A 20624-nucleotide genomic window follows, 5' to 3' on the forward strand; every position below is an offset into this window, starting at 1 on the left:
CCTCCCAGGGTCAAGTCATCCTCCCATCTCAACCTCCCAGGTAGCTGGGACTACAGATGTGCACCACGATGCCCAGATAATTTTTAAATTTTTTGTAGAGTTGAGGTCTCCCCATGTTGCCCAGGCTGGTCTCAAACTCCTGGGCTCAAATGATCCTGCCACCTCAGCCTCCCAAAGTGCCGGGATTACAGGTGTGAGCCACTACACCCAGATCATTTATATTATTTATCATAAATGTAAGTCGGCCAAGGAACGACTCAAATATATAGTAAGTGATAAAACTATGATGGTTTCACGTGCTACTTGTTGGAAGTTCACTTGTCTTTGCACATATGATTATTATAATTTGATAAAAGCATGTCCTAGGCAGATATGCTTAAAACTTGATTGACATTTACTAGAGTATGGCACATGCATTTCTGAGTACCAATTTATATCTTCCCTTTCCCCAAGTCCCTCAACTAGGACTCCCAAAATTCTTAAACTTGTAACTTGAAGATATTTTTTTTTTCCAGCCAGTATACTACTACTGGAAAGGGTGAGGGTGAGAGGGTGCTGTGGAAATATGATTTGGATCCATAATTGAGGAGCAAATTTTCCCACCTCTTAAGAGGTGAACTACTCATGTCTGGGGAAGAGGGAAGAGTAGGAATGACATAAGTCACCATCTGCCCTTACCTCACAACCAACCAAAGCAATGACTTCCATCCCCTGATGCAGCACTGAGAAGCTGCATGAAACCTGAGTGAGTTCCACATTTTTTTTATTGCTGTCCCACAGTTAGAGCCAGTCACCAGACCTCAGTCTGTTCTCCATCATTTGTTCAGTTTGGAGTGACATCCTCTGTACCTTGAGGCTCTGCCAAGTTCTTCATAAAAGAACCTTTGGCTTCAAGTGGCCCAGGACTCTTGTAATGCACACAATCTCAAAAGGGTAAAGAATTTAGCCACTGCAAAGGGTGATGGTGACTTGAAGCCACATTTTTTCCCCTGACTCACGAAGAAATAACTAGATGGAATCAGTTTGAAATTGTCTACCCACCTGGGACAGCAGAAGAATAGAACAAACCTTTTATTTAATTTTTTTAATTTTTTTATTAGGAAAAGTGTACCTGTTTGGAGAGATTAAGGTAACGAACCCCTATGTACCTAGAACAAATATTTTAAATATAATTGTACATAGTTGGATATGCTCAGTTCAAAATTTTAGAAAACACATTTTATAACATTCAACCTTCCTAAGCACCGACATTTTCAAGAAATTCAAATGTATGTATAGATATTTTTCCTCGATTTATTAAAAAATGAACTTCCCTGGCCATAGAAGTTAATGTTTTCATTATCTCTGAAGTCTCCAACTTGGGTATGTATACATACACATGTTTATTATATGTGTATTATAATACATAGAATTGTTATAGAACATATATACGTACGTAGTATATATGTGTGTATTTATATGTATGCATACATAGAGTTTAAACTATGTATACTTTTAAAGATGTAGAGAAAATCAAATATTTGCAGATATCTGAAGCACCCCAAGGTTCCATAGAACATAACTTGGAAAACACTGTTCTAGGTACTGGGTGCTACAGGGATGAATAAGATATAGTGTTAGTCTCAGAGAATCACATGATCTCAGAGCCACTGTTCAATAAAATGTACATCAGTGTAGTTCATTGACTAGTTTCCAACTAGAATAAAAATTGTTGCTTGTGCAAGCAGTAAATTTTCTTTTGTTTTTCCTCAACTTCTTTAACATCATTTCTATCACTCTTCAGTGCTTATAGAATGAAAAATATCATGTGCAATGATTGAGATTTAATGTTGAATTTTAAAAGTGCAAAGATAGAAGTAATTCGTGAAGGATGCTGCTGAAGTTTCTTATTCTATTCAGTCATTGTAACCAGTGTGATTCAAGATTGGTTGATGTATGGACCATGGCCAGCAGCAGCTTTTTTCAGAAGTAGGAGACCAGAAATTTTCTTCCCTGTCAGTATATTTTCTTGTGTATACTTCCAGAGACTTTTTTTTAAATTGGGAACCAGTCAATATTCATATGTCCTTCCCAATATGCCCTTTTTTCTTTTTTTACCTAAGTGATAGCATACTATATACTCTGTTCTGTACTTTGCTTTCTTTTTTTCCTGAACAATCTATCTTAGAGACTATGTCACATAAATTTATAAGGAGTTTTCTCTTTTTTTCCTACAAGACATAGTATTACATTGAATTGATACATTATTGATGACATTTAGATGATTGGAAGATCATTTTAAAACCAGGAGTAGGTAATTCTTAGTATGGAATGTTGTTTGAAGAATACGAAAAAAATAAAAATACTGGGCAGTGTCTCATTATCCCACTGATGACTTTAGGCGTAGGAAAGTTTGAAACCTACTCCCCTAGAACAATAGGGGGATCAAATATGTGATCACATTCTTCTGGTGGGTACAAAATGGCAAATAAATACTGGTTATTTTCCATTGGTACTCCCTGCCTGCCTGGCTAGATATTTTAAAATCCCATTGAATATCAAACTTAGAATTAAATAGGTCAGTGAGAGGAACTTCTCTCCATGCAAGTGAGGAAAGCAGTCTCATATTAAAAAAGGAAAAGTTAGTAACTTTTGTAGTTTGTCCAGAAGTAAATGCCAGAGGTCTGTATGAAATAAAGGAAATGTGGCAACTTTGTCAAGAGTACATGAAAATATTGGGGCCAAGAGGGGAAAAGGCCGAAGGAAGGTATGCCTACTCCAGATGAGTTTTTTTTTTTTTTTTTTAGTGAGGAGGGGGCTGCTGGCATGAGCCCTTAAACTTGGTTATATGTGACCTCTACTCCCTGTGGTTAGAATTTCATGGCCAGAGTCAACAAGCTGTGGATGGGATTGTTAAAGTTTTGTAGTAGAGCAGAGTAGACAAACATGCCTGGGTGAGTTCTCTGGGATAAGACACGTTGTGACTATTCTAGATGATTTTTCCATGTGACATTGGACTTAGTGATTAAAGTGTTGCCAAAGGGACTGTTACCTCCTCATAGGTTGGGCCACTGTGCCTGAGACCTGTCCAGAACACTATGTTCTTATCACAAGGCAGTCCAAGAAGGACAGTATGATGATCAGAATGAGAGTGACTCTTTAGGACTTCTTTTATTTTCTGGTTTGTAGCTAACCTAAAGAGAAATGATTAGGATTTAGCTTCTCAGATCTGCCAAGTATATGAAGTTCTAAGTTTTACTGTTGTGGAGTACTTTCTTGTCTTTTTTCCAGTGTTCTTGAATTTAATTTTCTTATTCCATAGGATTTATAGTGTACTGTCCATTCAGCATACTATCCTGTGTGGATATCTCAAATCTTGTGTGGTTAAACATGCAAAAATTCAACCTTCTGTATCTAAGATAAAGTTCTGTGAGGACCGTATTTGGCTATAGTCAGATATAATAGCAGATGAATTTACCAAATAGGGTTATCCTACCTCCACTTCAGACCCATAAGCTGGCATATGAGTTTAGTGCACATGCCTCTCTTTCATTCAATAAGATGTGATTGTAAATTTTCAAGACATGATGCTATAGATCCTAAAAGAACTCTCTCATTACCATGTAATTGTTTATTTCTGCTCCACAGGGGCCTCTGCATAATGCTGCCGATGGGTACTTTGTGAAGGAGTCTTCCTAAGAGTTCCAAATGGGAAGCAGTGCAAAACTGTTTTTGGCTTTCTCCTCAACCTGCCTGATTTTTCATCTTATGTCTTATTTCCCTGTTTGGGGATAATAGGTCTCAGAGTGACATTAGCAATGTATTCATCCTATTTTCATTCCTTTTGATTTTTTCTTTTGCTTCTCCTATTCTTCCTCTGGAAAGGCTCTCCCATTTTATTCCTGGAAAGAATTGAATGGCCTTATTCTCATTCAGAGTTCTATCTGGTTTATAAGGTCTGTAAAAGAAAAAAAGACACTCTAGGTTGAGACCATTTAAGTTAGGCTTTTGATATGTAGATGAACAAGATTAAGGAGTAAAACCTTTCTCTCAGCAAAAATTTATCAATATGATTGTGTCACTTGAAAATTTGATAATATTAGATGAATATTAACATTTCTTTCTCTTTGCATTTCTGCTATACCAATTTTACTCCTCCTCAAAGGATTGAATAGGGAGAAGATCATATACAAGGGATCAAAAAAGAAAAAAAATTTTTAAATTATTCTTGTTAAATATGTATATGTTTCAATGTTCATGTCTATTTATCTGCCTTTGCCTTCCTGCCTTCAGTAAATTGGCTTTCTTTCCTAACATTTACTTCTTTTGTAGCATACTACTCTTCACCCAGTCTTTATGGATATTACTTCTTTTATCTCATCTAACTCATGCCATCTCGACATTCCCCATATCATCGTATCTACTCCCTCTTCCCATTAGCATGGTTGGATCCTCACTCTTTTCATCCCAAGCCTATTTCTTATCTATTCTATATGTCTCCTTGCCCTAAGTAAAACCTGACTCTTCCGTTCATTGATGAGCACTTAGCAAACATCAATTATGTATAATCGTCTCCTTTTGGAACCTTGTATTCCACCAATCTGCTGACTTTTCACTTCCTTAAAAGTGCCTATCATGCAAGTTGGTCGAGTGATTCAGATTACGAAAGGCTCTCATTTCTAGGCTGCTTCCCTTTCTGTATTGAGCACAGGGTCCAGAACTTTATTAGAGTTTGGGTTTTATTTTATATGCAATAGAGAACCCCTATGAATTTTTTAGTGGAATGAGGGTAATGAATGCATATAATATTCTAGGAAGATATTTCTGGGAGTAACGTACAGAATTGTTTGTTTGAATTACATATATCCATTAATACATTACCACAGTAAAACAGAAATGAGAAAAAAAGAGAGGAGAGAAAATAGACCAAAAGAAAAAAAAACTAAATGACTTTTTAAAAATACAGGTATAGTTAACTTTATTTAGCCTATCGATGTTTATATTGACTGATAGTAATCATTAAAGACAAACTGACATCAAGCTCAATAAATTTAAACTTTTGGCAATTTTCCTCATTTAAACAGTGCTACTATATCAACCAAATCAACACCAATTCAACCAACTAAACAATTTCTTGACCAAATCAACAGGAGACAAAGCAGCCTTTGGTTAGAAGATAAAAAGAAGAGTTGTCAGCAAATAAGAAAGTGAACGGTTAGTTCAAGAAGATAGGGAGCTAGAATAATGGAATTTCATTAAGATCAACATAAAAGAGGCTAATCAAATGCCATCAAATGTGTCCTTTCATATGCATGGAACATATAGCAAATTCAATCCCCTATTGGGATTGAATACGGTGACTTGAAAAGTTTCAGTTTCAGAAGAGTAATGGGGAAAGTAATAATGTGGAATGAATTGAAAAAGAAATAAGTAGTTGTCAAATGGATGTCAGCATCAGGTAACTGTACTGTACCTGTGGATAAGACAGATTCTTTGTTTAAACTCTCATTAAAGGAAAAAAAATAACTAAATGCTATTAGAGTTTAACATGCTATTTATTTTCTCTTTAGTATTTCTTTCTTAAAGTTTTTTTTTTCTTTAGAGATGGTGTCTCACTCTGTCACCAGGCTAGAATGCAGTGGCACAATCATAGCTCACTGCAGCCTCAGGCTCCTGGGCTCAAGTGATCCTCCTGCCTCAACTTCCTGAGTAGCTGGGACCACAGGTGTGTACCATCATACCCAGTTAATTTTTAAAATTATTATTTTCTGTAGAGATGGGGTCTTGCTATGATGCCCAGGCTTGTCTCGAACTCCTGGGGTCAAGTGATCCTCCCACCTTGGCCTCTCAAAATGCTAAGATTACAGGTGGGAGCCACTGCATCTGGCCTCTCTTTAGGATTTTTATTCCAAGGTAAATAGTAGTGATCATAGCTCAATAATATTATTAATATTCTGAATATTGTCAATGTTTATAGGAAATTAATTCTATTTAATTAACTGATTTAAACTTTCTTTGCCTTAGTTTATTAAAGAGTTACATTTTCCCCATAAAAATATGCCTTTGATATTTTAATGAAATTTAACAGAGAAACAGAATTACACTACCAGAAATTTGTTTAGATACTCCTCTGCATTTCAATCAAGGATATTATAAAGCAAAAATGAAGTTTTATTGTATTTATGATATTACAATAAGATATTTTAACATTAATTTCAAATAGGTGTAACTCAAGATCATATAGGACCATTCTTTTTAAGAATAAAATGGAAAGATATAAAAGATATCTTTTATATATAAGGTAGGTGAGAAAAAAGATAGAAAATAAGAGTTTTTTTAGTCCAGAGATTATTTGGTTTGGTCCGTACTATTCCATTCAATTTTTTACCAGTCAAATTTTCCATTTATGGGACAACACCCATTAAACAGCATTTGTGTATGTCCAAGGTTTGTTTAACTTAAAGAGATACAAAATATACACGTTTTCCAAACAAAAATGGCTGGTTCAAAGTTCTGTGACCAGTGACATGTAAACTGAAGCAATCAGTGCACGTCTGGTGATGCGTTGTTAAAATTTCAAAGGTTACCATGCGTGGGCTTTAGAATTTGTTTAGAGAAGCAGTGATAACCTTGACTCTCTTTCAGCAGAAGTACAAGTTTATTAATGTAAGACTCAGTACTACTATTCACATTTTAATCATTTATGTGTTTACCTTAAGGTTCCACTATAGGTTACTTGATTTCCACTATATTTCCACTATAGGTTACTTGATTCTTAAAACTAGGTGACTATATTTTACCTTTGCTTAACCCCATGCTCCATTATTTTAAATTGTTCTTTTTGGAGTTTAATTTTAATTAAGCTTATTCAACTCAATGTCAGATGGTCGAATGCAGCTAATAGGATGTTTAACATTCTCTGTAGAAACAGGGTTGGGCTTGTGACTTGTTTGCTAAACTCAAGTTTAGGGTTTTTCTTGTTTAGTTTCTTAATTGTTGAAAGAGAAATAGACCTTAATTTTTTAAATAAACCAGATATTCCACTTTTAATTGAAATCTCTTGTGCATTGGTTAAAGAAGTTTAATCTTTCAATGAAAACATATCAAAGATAATTGGTTGAGGTTGAATCTCATCAAAACTCATGTAACAAGTGCTTAATATGCAAGAACATTTACTCACTGAGCACCTCCTACTGCTTATTCAGATTTCCTCTTTCCCATTTTTAGTGTGATACGTTCTCAGTTTTCTTTTAAGGTTTCTAAAAGATAGATCTGCATTTCTATTTTATAATATATATAACCAAACCACAATTGTTATTATCTCTTGATTTAATCATCCTTTTACCTGCCATAAAAATAATTTTTTTTGTAGATGTTGCTCTGAAAATATTTTATTTGACATCTATATTTAACATACATATTTCTTGGTTATTTTGGCAGAAGTTGGTAAATCTTCCTACTCTTCCATAGATTACCTATTTTAGATATTTTAAATGAAGACTAGGATAATAGACAGCTAGTAGATCCCAACTTAGAACTAGGTTTTTGTCCTGACTCTGCCACTCACTAGTGTTTTAATGTAGGACAAGTTTGTTCTTGTCTCTGGACTTTCCTCATTCCCTTCCAGTGCTGTTAGAAGAATTATATTTGACATTACACAAGTGATATTGTTGCATTAACATATAGCATTATTATAATCATTGTAAGGTCCTGAAATAAGAGACTCATGCCTGTTTAATTAAATTATATGGATCATATTTTGAGCTAAAAATACTCATGATCTAACAAATGATTTATTTTTTGTTTGTGAGTTTAAATAGCAAGACTTCAAATGTATAAAATGAAATAATAATCAATCATGTTTTTAACTAAAGGTAATATTGAACAGAATAAAATTAAATAAAATATCAGTTTGTCTCAGATAATTCAGGTAGTGATTTGTCATATAGAGGATCTAATAATTTGATTCTGAAGGCAGCAAAATGACCAATAAAATACTAGGGGTAACATTTCTCTTTATTAAGTGTATTTGTTTTGATTTAGAAAGACAAAGCAGAAGAAAATTGACTATTTGTCTAAAAATGAATTTTATATATTTTATATTATTATTATTATTTGAGACAGCGTCTTGCTCTGTCACCCAGGCTGGAGTGCAGTGGCATGATCATGACTCATGGCAGCCCTGACCTCCTGGGTTCAAGTGATCCTCCTGCCTTAAACTCTTGAGTAGCTGGCACTACAGACACACACCACCATGATTGGCTAATTTTCTAATTTTTTTGAGACTGGGTCTCGCCATGTTACCCCAGCTGGTCTTGAACTCCTGGGTTTAAGTTATCCTCCTGCCTCAGCCTCCCAAAGTGCTGGGATTACAGGCATGAGCCACCACACCTGGCCATGTTTTTAATGTGATTAATTCAGCAAACACTTGTTGGATATCTACTCACTCGTTTAACAAATGCTTATTGTATGCTCAGTATTCTACCCATTTGAGATAGAGTGACAATCAAGACAAGCAAAGTCCCAAATCACAAGAAGCCTACAGTCTAGAGTGAGAGGTGTTTTATAATTAAGGGTGAGGAGCTGGATCCGTTGAAGGCCTTCAAAAGGCAGGTTGAAAATTTAAATAAAATTCAGACTATAGTAAGAAAATGGGCCAAGAAGTCTGAATTCTTCATTGGACCTCAATTTTCAAGATATAATAGCAAATATTATAATGTTGAATGGAATTTCAGGGTTACAATATTATTTTTTTCCAAAGATAGGTTACTTTTGATGACAATATCAATTAAATTAGCAATGCCAGGAGTCTTGAGTCACATTTGTTTATAGAGCTCTGACAAAAACATGTTTGTTCAGCCCTGCCCCATGCTCTTGTTTAATGTGTATGGAAGCTGGAAGAGTTCTATGAGTCTAACATAATTAGTTGTCCATAATGAATAAACTATATGGGCTCTGTGAATCTTATGCATGCAGCAGAGTAAAGTGGTTAAGAGCACGAATTTTAAAGCCAAACTGCCTGGGTTTGCATCCTGACACTATTCATTACTTACTAGGTGTGCACCCTTGAACAAATTAAACTACTTAGCCTGACCCTTCAGGCTCCTCATCTGCTAAACAGGCATAATAATAGTACCTACCTCGGTTGTGACGATTAAATGCATGCATATGTGTACAGTGCTAGAAGTGGGCCTGTTCCATCGTAAGTGCTAGTTAGGTGTTTCTTTCAAGGACTAAGGCTCATTTTGTCTGCCTTATGTTACCCAGTTTTGACTCTTAGAAACTGGTTAGTTTTTAGAGATGGAGGGAAAAATCCATATTTTATAATAGTTTCAGAGGAATCAAAATTGTGGAAAGCACCTTATAAATCATGTGGTCTAGTCCCTTCATTTTATACATGAGAAAATTGAGACCCCAGAAGCTGAGTTACATGTCTAACATGACTTTAAATAGTCTCCCATTAGGCAGGTAAACCCAATGTAGCTTAATAGTGTGGGTCACCGTAATTCAGCTGTGATCATGAAATATCCAGATTATTTGAGCCACCTCGGATTACAAAGACCCACTAAATTAAACTGAGATCTAAGATCTTCAATGTACTCAAGGCTACAAATGGGATAAGAAAACTCAAGTAAAATTCAAGCTTGCTGATTTTAATTTATGATCATAATGTACTGTCCTGAGGGAAGCACACATAAAAGATACATGGTAACAGTTGTGTTGTATTAAGGGAGAGCATGTCTATAAAAGTATTTTTTCCTAAGATTTTATAATCTGTTAGCTCTTTGTTGGTGTCAGCTGAGTTTCTTGTTGATCTCAGACAATGAGTTTACTCTTCTGTCACTCTCTTATGTTCAGTGATATATCTGTGATGACAGATAAAGATCTGTCTTTAAAGATGCATGCACAACTGTGACTGTATGTTTTGTAAGTAAAGCAGTTATGCAAGAATGTAACTTTTCTTTTCTTTTTTTATTTTTTGAGACAGGTTCTCACTCGGCTGCCTAGGCTGGAGTGCACTGGTGCAATCTTGGCTCTCTGCAACCTCTGCCTCCTAGGTTCAAGTGAATCTCGTGCCTCAGCCTCCTGAGTATCTGGGATTACAGGCGTGTGCCATCACACCCGGCTAATTTTTGTATTTTAATTGAGATGGGTTTCACCATGTTGGCCAGGCTGGTCTTGAACTTCTGATAGCATGTGATCTGCCTGCCTGTGCCTCCCAAAGTGCTGGAATTACAGGCGTGAGCCATTGCACCTGGCTGACTTTCCTTAATTTTAAAAATATACTTTAATGTTTAGAGCAATTTTAGGTTTACAGCCAAATTAAGAGGCCGATACAGGGATTTCCCATATTCCCCAGCCCCTACACATACATAGCCTCCTCCATTATCAACTCTCCCGGCCAGAGTGATACATTTGTTACAATTGATGAACCTGCATTGACACATCATAATCACCCAGGGTCCATCCATAGTTTACTTTAATTAGGGTTCCCTGTTGGTATTGTGCATTCTGTGGGTTTGGACAAATTTATGACATGCCTCACCATTACAATATCATGCAGAGTAGGTTCACTACCCTAAAAATCCTCTGTGCTCTGCCTCTTTATCCCTCCCTCCCTCCTAACATCTGGCAACTACTGATTTTTTTTTTACTGTCTCCGTTTTCTAGAATGTCACAGAGTTGGAATTATACAGCACATATGTAGCCTTTTCAAACTTCATTACACTTAGTACTATGCATTTAAGTTTCTTCCATGTCTTTTTATGATTTGCTAACTCATGTGTTTTTTATTATTAATAATTTTTCATTGTCTAGATGAACTATAGTTTATCCATTCACCTACATAAGGACAACCTTGCCTCCAGGATTTGGCAATTATGAATAAAGCTGCTATAAATACTCATGTGTAGATTTTGGTGTGAACATAGCTTTCAACTGCTTTGGGTAAATAACAAAAAGTACGATTGCTGGCTCATATGGCAAGAGTATGCTTAGTTTTGGAAGAAATTGCCAAACTGTCTTTCAAACTGGCTGTACCTGTACATTTTGCAGTCCACCAGCAATGAATGAGAGTTCCTGCTGCTCCACATCTTTGCCAGCATTTGGTGTCAGTGTTCTGGATTCTGGCCATTCCAGTAGGTGTGTAGTGGTAACTCCTTGTTTCAATTTGTATTTCCCTGATGACATATTATGCGGAATGTCTTTTCATATTCTTGTTTGCCATCTGTATATGTTGCTTGGTGAAGTATCTGTTAAATCGTTGGCCCATATTTTAATCAGGTTGTTTGCTTTCTTATTGTTGAGTTTTAAGAGTGTTGTATGTTTTGCATGGCACATGTATACATATGTAACAAACCTGCACGTTGTGCATATGTACCCTAGAACTTAATAATTTAAAAAAAGAGTGTTGTATGGTTTGGATAACAGTCCTTTATCGGTTGTTTTTTGGAAATATTTTCTCTTAGCCTATGGCTTTTCATTTCATTCTCTTGATAGTGTCTTTTGCAGAACAGAAATTTTTAATTTTAATGAAGTCCAGCTTTTCATCTCTTAATTTATATTATACCTTTGTTGTCATATCTAAGAAGTTGTTGCCAAAGCCAAGGTCATCTAGAATTTCTCCTGTGTTATATTATAGGAGGTTTATAGTTTTGTGTTTACATTTAAGTCTGTAAACTATTTTGAGTTAATTTTTATGAAGGGTGTAAGGCATGTACCTAGTCATTTTTTCTGTGTGAATGTCTACTTGTTCCAGCACCATTTGTTGAAAATATCTTTTACTCATTGCATTACTTTTGCTCTTTTGTCAAATATCAGCTGATCATAATTCTATTTATGTGCATTTGCATCTATGTGACTCTTTTTGGGCTTTGTATTCTGTTCCACTGATCTATTTGCTTAGTCTTTTGTCAGTACCACATCGTGTTGATTACTGTCAGTTATATTTAAGTCTTGAAGTTAGGTAGTGTCAGATCTCTGATTTTGTTCAGCCAACCCAGAGTTGGCTATTGTAGGTCTTTTGTCTGTACATTTAAACTTCAGTATAAGTTTGTCAATATCAACAAAATAATTTGCTGGGATTTTGATTGCGATTCCTAACTTGATTCTATCAATCAAGTTAGGAAAAACTGACATCCTTACAATTTTGAGTCTTCCTATCTATTAACATGGAATATCTTTTCATTTATTTAGTTATTCTTTGATTTCTTCAATCAGAGTTTTGTAGTTTTTCTCATCTAAATCTTGTACATATTTTGTTAGATTTATATCTAAGTGTTTCATTTTTTGAAGTGCTAATGTAAACAGTATTGTGTTTTTAATTTTAAATTCCACTTATTCATTGCTGATATATAGGAAAACAATTGACTTTTGCATATTAACCTTGTATCCTCCAACCTTGCTATAATTGCTTTTGTTTTCCTAATTCTTTTGGATTTTCTACACAGATGATTATGTCATCTGCAAACAAAGACAGACATTTGCAACAATATTGAAAAACATTGTTGAGGTGACATTCTTTCTTTGTTCCTGAAAACTTTCCTTAAATTTTTGTAAGTCATATTCATTTCCATTTTGAATCTGCGTAAGTGGAGAAATATTCACCGTCAACAGTTTGGTGTCCCCTTGCTTTCCTTGAGTTGATTCATCTAATGCCAAGACATTGTGTGAGGCTTCATTGGTTCCTTGGTTGTTTGTCTACACAGCTCTCTGCTGAGATGTGAGTCATTGCCCATCTGGTTCTCTATTCTCTGTCTATGCAGTTCACCCCTGAGGCGCCCCTCCATCTTGTTGGGCAGCCGCTTTAGTACTGTTCAAACTCTCTATTCCTTCTACACCTAGTTTAAGGATGCTGGAATCATTTGGTTACTTCTCCTGATTTTTGTGAATTTGCCTAAGTTTGGGACAGTTTAAGACATAACACACGGTCATTTTCTTTGTGGGGTCTTGTCTTGCCCCTTTCCTGAGGGCTTTCCTAGAAAGGACTCTCTTTTTCTCTCACAAGATACTATTGCTTTTCCTTGCCTTTCCTATGCTATTCCAGAAAAAAGGAGTCTTTCAGACAAGCCCCTTCTCTTCAACCACCATTATTGTTTTTAAAATAATTTCAACTTTTAGTTTAGATTCATGGGGTATATGTGCAGGTTTGTTATATGAGTATATTGCCTAAGGTTTGTGATATAAATGATCTTGTCACTTAGGTTGTGAACGTAGTACCCAATAGTTAGTTTTCAACTCTTTCCCTTCTTTTCCTCCCCTCTTATTATTGATCCCCAGTGTCTATTGTTGCCATTTTTATGTCCACAAGTACCCAGTGTTTTGCTCCTACTTATAAGTGAGAATGTATGGTGTTTGATTTTCTGTTTCTGCATTAATTCTCTTAGGATACTGGCCTCCAGCTGTGTTCATATTACTTCAAAGGACATGGGTAATTTTGTCCTTTTTTATGGCTGTGTAGTATTCCATAGTGTATATGTATCACATTTTCCATTTCTTTTTTTTTTTTAAATATTCTTTTTTCTTTTTATTTAACTTTTATTTTGGTATATGTGCAGGATTTTTATATAGGTAAACTTGTGTCATGGGGATTTGTTCTACAGATTATTTTATCACACAGGTAGTAAGCCCAGTACACATTAGTTATTTTTCCTTATCCTCTTGTTGCTTCCAACCTCACCCTCCAATAGGTCCCAGTGTGTGTTATTCTCCTCTATGTGTTCATGTGTTTTTATCATTTAGCTCCCGCTTATAAGTGAGAACATGCAGTATTGGTTTTTTGTTCCTGCATAAGTTTGCTAAGGATAATGGCGTCTGGCCTCCAGCTCCATCCATGTTTTTGCAAAGGACGTGATCTCATTTTTTATGGCTTCATAGTATTCCATGGTGTTCTACATTTTCTTTATCCAGCCTACCATTAATAGGCACCTGGGTTGCTTCCATGTCTTTGCTATTGTGAATAGAGCTGCGATGAACATACAAGTGCATGTGTCTTTTTGGTAGAATGATTTATTTTCCTTTGGATATATATCCAGTAATGAGATTTCTGGGTTGACTGGTAGTTCTAATTTTAGTTCTTTGAGAAATCTCCAATCACTTTCCAAAGTGGTTGAACTAATGTACATTCGCACCAACAGTGTAGGTGTTCCATTTTCTCTGCAGCCTCGCCAGCATCTGTAATTTTCCAACATTTTCTTAGTAGTCATTTTGACAGGTGTGAGATGGTATCTTGTTGTGGTTTTGAGTTACATTTTTCTGATGATTAGTGATGTTGAACATTTTTTCATATGTTTGTTGGCTGCTTGTTTGTTTTCTTTTGAGAAGTGTCTGTTCATATGTTTTGCCTGCTTTTTAAAGGGGTTATTTGTTTTTTACTGGATTTATTTATTTATTTATTTATTTATTTATTTTGAGATGGAGTCTCACTCTGTTGCCCAGGTTGGAGTACAGTGGCGTGATTTTGGCTCACTGCAAACCTCAGCCTCCCAGGTTCAAGCAATTCTCCTGCCTCAGCTTCCTGAGCAGCTGGGATTACAGGTGCCCACCACCACACCCAGCTAATTTTTGTATTTTTAGTAGAGATGGGGTTTCTCCATGTTGGTCAGGCTGGTCTTGAACTCCTGACCTCAGGTGATCAGCATGCCTCGGCCTCCCAAAGAGCTGGTATTACAGACATGAGCCACCGTGCCTGGCTTTTTTGCTTGTTGGATTAAGTTCCTTCTAGATTTTGCATATTAGACTTTCGTTGGATGCATAGTTTGCAAGTATTTTGTCCCATTCTGTACGCTGTCTTACTCTCTTGACAGTTTCTTTTGCTGAGCAGAGGCTCTTTAGTTTAATTAGGTCCCACTTGTCAATTTTTGTTTTTGTTGCAATTGCTTTTGAGGACTTAGTCATAAATTCTTTCCTAAGGCTGATGTCCTGAATGGTATTTCCTAGGTTTTCTTCTAGGATTCTAATAGTTAGAGGTCTTATGTTTCAATCTTTAATCTATCTTGAGTTAATTTTTCAGAGATCATATTCTTATTACTTTCCTCCACATCTGTTTTTTCTCCCCATCCTGATAGATTATTTCTAGCATCTTCTCAGATCCTTTTCTCTTTCTCAAATATTTCTCCCAAACATTCTGCTTATGTCAAGAATGCTTTCAGTTCCTCTAGGAGCTTAGGTTTTAGAAACTAACATTAAAAAAGAAACCCTTTGTTCATGCTTTTCATCCTTTACCTCCCTCCTCCAAAGCATTTAGCACACAATGACTCAACAGGTTGATGACAAAAATTGACATTTTCTAAAGAAAAAAAGAGAGTGTACTAGATCAAGAAATGTTATCCCATCACATAGTTATTAATATTTATTTTACTTTGTGGGGTTGGGTTGGCTTCAGTTTGTGTGTTTTTGTAACCATCCAGATGACAGTGATGGCAGTGTCAACCCCAAAGATTTTGGGAATCCTATAAAATAAAGCAAACCGGAGGGTTTTTCTTGACATTTTTTTCAATCGATATGTCTTAGTTGTCCATATTTTTCAGGTACATGTAATATTTTGATATGTGTGTATAAGGTATAATCATCATATCAGGATAATTGGGATATCTAACACCTCAAACATTTATCTTTTCTTTGTGTTGGGAATATTACAATTTTTCTCTTATAGGTGTTTTGAAATATAAATTATGATTCACTTCTTACTGTAGTATCAAATACTAGAATTTGTTCTTCTACTTAACTGTATTTTTGTATTAATCAAAGGCATTTTTATGTCATATTAAAACAGAAGTTAAGGATCTTCAGAGAAATGCTCTCTACCATGACACTATTTTTTGAATGATAAATGAGGATTATTTAACAATGAGCCCTAATTCATTTTGAAAAACAATTAGTACTAAATATCAGAAAAACGTATGAATTATACATAGTAAATATTATCTTCTGTATTTGTAGTGTAAACTGAGACACCAAAAAGTAACTCACCCCGAGTTTAGTGGCTGACCTAGTGGCCGACGTGTTTTAACATTTATATGCAGGTTTCTGCTATGCACCTAGCACTATTCTAAGCACTGTCCCTGAAATCATTTTCGAATTTGTGTGTAATATGACACTCATTGCAATTTTTAAAGGACTTTTTCACATTGGAAGGGGTAAAGTAATTTTCCCAGGGACTGTAGAAAACTGACATTATAATCCTGAGTTTTATTTCACCATATTGTTTCTTATAAATGTCTGTCCACCAATGTGTTAAAAATGGGCTCAGCAGAGTATGTGGGATATAACAATAAAATATATTTTTAGTATTTCCCAAAATTAGATCACTGTCATATTTAAGTGAATGATTCTTTTATTATATTAATCATTGCAGGTTTTAGAGCTGTAAACTGTCAACCGCATTACAGAATGATGAGACTCATTTGTTGATTCTCTGCCCATGAAATCTCCAGTTGATACACAAATGCCAGACTCAGCATTTCTCCTTCTCCCAGAGATAGGCTAGTTCTTGAAGGTCATTTTTTTTGTGTAGACTTTCTGTAATTCATTTGCTCAGAGTATACTTTTCAATGGACATAGTTCACTCCTTGTTGATTAGAGTTGTAGAGTATTTGCTGTCTGCCTGAGTTTTGCAAATTATCAGTGGTAAAGGATTAAAGTGTAAACATAAGGTCAATGGCCTTCAAAGTGGTGGATGGGCTGATATTACAGTTTAAAAATATTTAAATACATTTATTCTTTAATATATTGAAGGATTTCTACAGGGCATATTTTTTAGGCAACAGAAATGAACTATGATCAGAGGCGATTCTAAAGTGTAAGGTGTTGGATCTTCTATATCTTAAATTTTGAAAGTACTATGAATGAATGGAAGTACATATTGCTTATTATTCTATTAAGCTATCACAGTCTCCTATCTTAGATTAGAGATTTTTTTGGTGTGTCTTTGCTTTTAATTTGCAAAATCCGTGTAAGGAATTAATGTGCATATTAATATTTTTGTGCTTCACAAAGGCTTAAAATTGTTTTTTTTTTCTTTTTTTAAATTATACTTTAAGTTCTGGGGTACATGTGCAGAATGTGCAGGTTTGTTACGCAGGTTTACATCTGCCATGGTGGTTTGCTGAACCCATCAACCCCTCACCTACATTAGGTATTTCGCCTAATGTTATCCCTCCCCTAGCCCCAAACTCCTTGACAGGCCCTGGTGTGTGATGTTCCCTTCCGTGTGTCCATGTGTTCTCATTGTTCAACTCCCACTTATGAGTGAGAACATGCAGTTTCTGGTTTTCTGTTCTTGTGGTAGTTTGCTGAGAATGATGGTTTCCAGCTTCATCCATGTCCCTGCAAAGGACATGAACTCATCCTTTTTATGGCTGCATAGTATTCCATGGTGTGTATGTGCCACATTTTCTTTATCTAGTCTATCACTGATGGACATTTGGGTTAGCTCCAAGTCTTTGCTCTAGTGAATAGTGCCACAATAAACATATGTGTGCATGTGTCTTTGTAGTAGAATGATTTATAATCCTTTGGGTATATACCAAGTAATGGGATTGCTGGGTCAAATGGTATTTCTAGTTCGAGATCCTTGAGGAATCGCCACACTGTCTTCCACTATGGTTGAACTAATTTACACTCCCGCCAACAGTGTAAAAGCATTCCTATTTCTCAACATCCTCTCCAGCATCTCTTGTTTCCTGACTTTTTAATGATCACCATACTAACTGACATGAGATGGTATCTCATTGTGGTTCTGATTTGCATTTCTCTAATGACCAGTGATGATGAGCTTTTTAATAGCTTGTTGGCTGCAAATATGTCTTCTTTTGAGAAGTGTCTGTTCATATTCTTTCCCACTTTTTGATGGGGTTGTTTGTTTTTTCTTGTACATTTATTTAAGTTCTTTGTAGATTCTGGATATTGCCCTTCATCAGATGGATAGATTGCAAAAATTTTCTCCAATTCTGTAGGTTGTCTGTTCATTCTGATGATGATTTCTTTTGCTGTGCAGAAGCTCTTTAGTTTAATTAGATCCCATTTGTCAATTTTGGCTTCTCTTGTCATTGCTTTTGGTGTTTTAGACATGAAGTCGTTACCCATGCCTATGTCCTGAATGGTATTGCCTAGATTTTCTTCTAGGAATTTTATGGTTTTAGGTCTTACGTTTAAGTCTTTAATCCATCTTGAGTTAATTTTTGTATAAGATGTAAGGAGTTTCTGCATATGCCTAACCAGTAAAACTGTTTTTAAAACAATGTAAAATCTCAAGAAAGATTTTGAGTTAACTCTTTGTCCAAATCAAACACAACTGGAAATCTATCTTGTTCTCTGCACAGATTATTTAAATCTTAGTGTCAAGATACATAGGCACCAATATATATATCACCAAGATAGGTATTATGTCTCTAAATCAGAGTGTGATGTGATTATCCAGTAATGGTTCATGGGGATAACCAAGTGATAGTAGAAAAAAAAAATTAATTTGGAACTCAGTAGGACTGCAAATAAGTAAAAATGGAAGCCTGGAAACTGAAAACAAATTCAAATTAAGTTTTCCTATCAAGGTAAACTTAGTTTTTATTTTGTTTCATATATGTATGACCAATTAATAATAACTTAGTGAGTTTGCCCCATATGTTTCACCATATATTTAGCTCTCTTAAGTACTGTTGGTGACAAATAAATAAAATAACTGGGAATTTATGGCCCCTGCTGTCTTTAAAGTGCTTATAAGTTAGTTATAGAATAATAATAACATTCCTAACTCTGCTGCTAACCAGCAACATTACATTGCATAAGTGTCTGAGTCTACTTTTCTAGACTTGTACATCACAGATGCTCCTGATTTTCCTCTTACATTTCACCTTCTCCTTTTCACTGGCTTCCTCTGGCCTCCCCTCCACCCTCAGACTTCTAAATGTAGAATGGAAGTTTCCGCCCTCAGCACTCATCTCTTTCCTGTCTACATTTTCCTCCTGGGTGATCAGATGATCTCTTTGAATACTATCTATGTACTAATTTTTTTCGAATTTTTATCCTTTGCCAGAAGTCCTCCCTTGAATTCTAGATTCATATATTACACAACATCACATTTTTACCAGGATGTCTAACAAGTATTTCAAACTTAACAAGGCCAAACAGAACTAGTAACTACCTTCCTTAAGCCTAGTGTATATCCTCCCATTTCCCCCTTTCCATGTACCCCCCATTCCCAGTCTTTTCCATTTCCGTAAATGGTGACAACATTTTCTCAGTTGTTTAGGTCAAAACCTGAGTCATTACTGAATCTTTTTCTTTCTTACATTTCACACCTAATTTTTCAGTAATTACTGGCAGTGCTACTCACAAAACATATTCAGAATGAAAACATTTTCAGAATATTCAGACCACTGCTGACCACTTTGTATGCTATTACCAGCATTCAGATCTCAATGAGAGTGTTACTTCCTCAGACAGCCCTTCTCTGACACCCTCAGGAAAGCTGTAGTCCTTCACTATCATACTCACTCTCAGTACCTGATTTTATTATCATCTTCAACTTATCAGTACATGGAAGGTTTATTTATTTACTTGTTAATTTGCTGTCTTCTGCACTGGAATGTAAACTCTTTCAGGTCAAAGAATATGTACAGTCTATTCAATGTTGAATCCCCAGCACTTAGAATAGAGACTGGCACACGGTAAGTAATCAAAAAAATTTGCTGATGGTTTGGTTAACTGGCCTTTATATTTTAATCTGTAAAACAAAGGGAATGAAACCAATGATCTCTAAGGACTTTTCTAGGCCTAAGATTCTTTTCTATTCTCTTAATACTGGATTGGTTTGAATAATGAGGATAGCAAAATGTCCAAGTTGTACCCATTTTCTAAGACCTAGTTAAGTCACATCTCTAACCACTTGGACCCATAGATCTTTCTTCCTTCCTGCGTGAACAACCATAGAGTCTCTGTGGGTTAGTTCATGGCTAGCCAAATACCTTTGCCTTATTAGTTAAGTGCGCTTGCATGCATATTTGTAATTGCAATTTCACTTGAACACTTTTGAAGTAAGACCCTGTGCTTGTCCCCCCTGCTTTTTCTTATAGCATTAATGATAACACTAGTTAAAATTCACTGAGTGTCAATATGAGGCAGGCAATGTTTATACTTGATGAGCATTAACTAATTTAATTTTTACAGCTACCCCATAAATTAAGATTATTATTTATTCTCAAGAGAGAAAATCAAGGCATAGCATGTTGAAGTACCTTACCCACACAACTAGTAAGAAGTGGAGCTGGTATTCAAACTTGAGAAGTCTAATTCCAAACTAGTGCTCTTAATCAATACACGATAATATTTCATGTGGTACCTAGCTCAGACACTAGAAATATGTGGGAAATAGAACAGACACTAGATATTCATTTGAGTGAGCTCGGTGAATAAATAAGAAATAGATAAAAATGTGCAGCGGTAGTTCTATGAAGTGACTGTATATCTCACCCAGAAAATCTCTAGGTAATTACTGGAAAGACTCTCATTCTCATGAATACCTGGTTTTATTCTGACTGCTGCCTTCACATGGCTTGCATTTTTGTATTTATCATTCCACTTCACTCTGCTTCTGCTTAATCCAGCAGTTTTGTATCTGAGCAACCATCTGTCTTTAAACAAATTCCACA

Source organism: Homo sapiens, chromosome 4, assembly GCF_000001405.40.
Source record: "Homo sapiens chromosome 4, GRCh38.p14 Primary Assembly".
Taxonomy (NCBI): domain Eukaryota; kingdom Metazoa; phylum Chordata; class Mammalia; order Primates; family Hominidae; genus Homo; species Homo sapiens.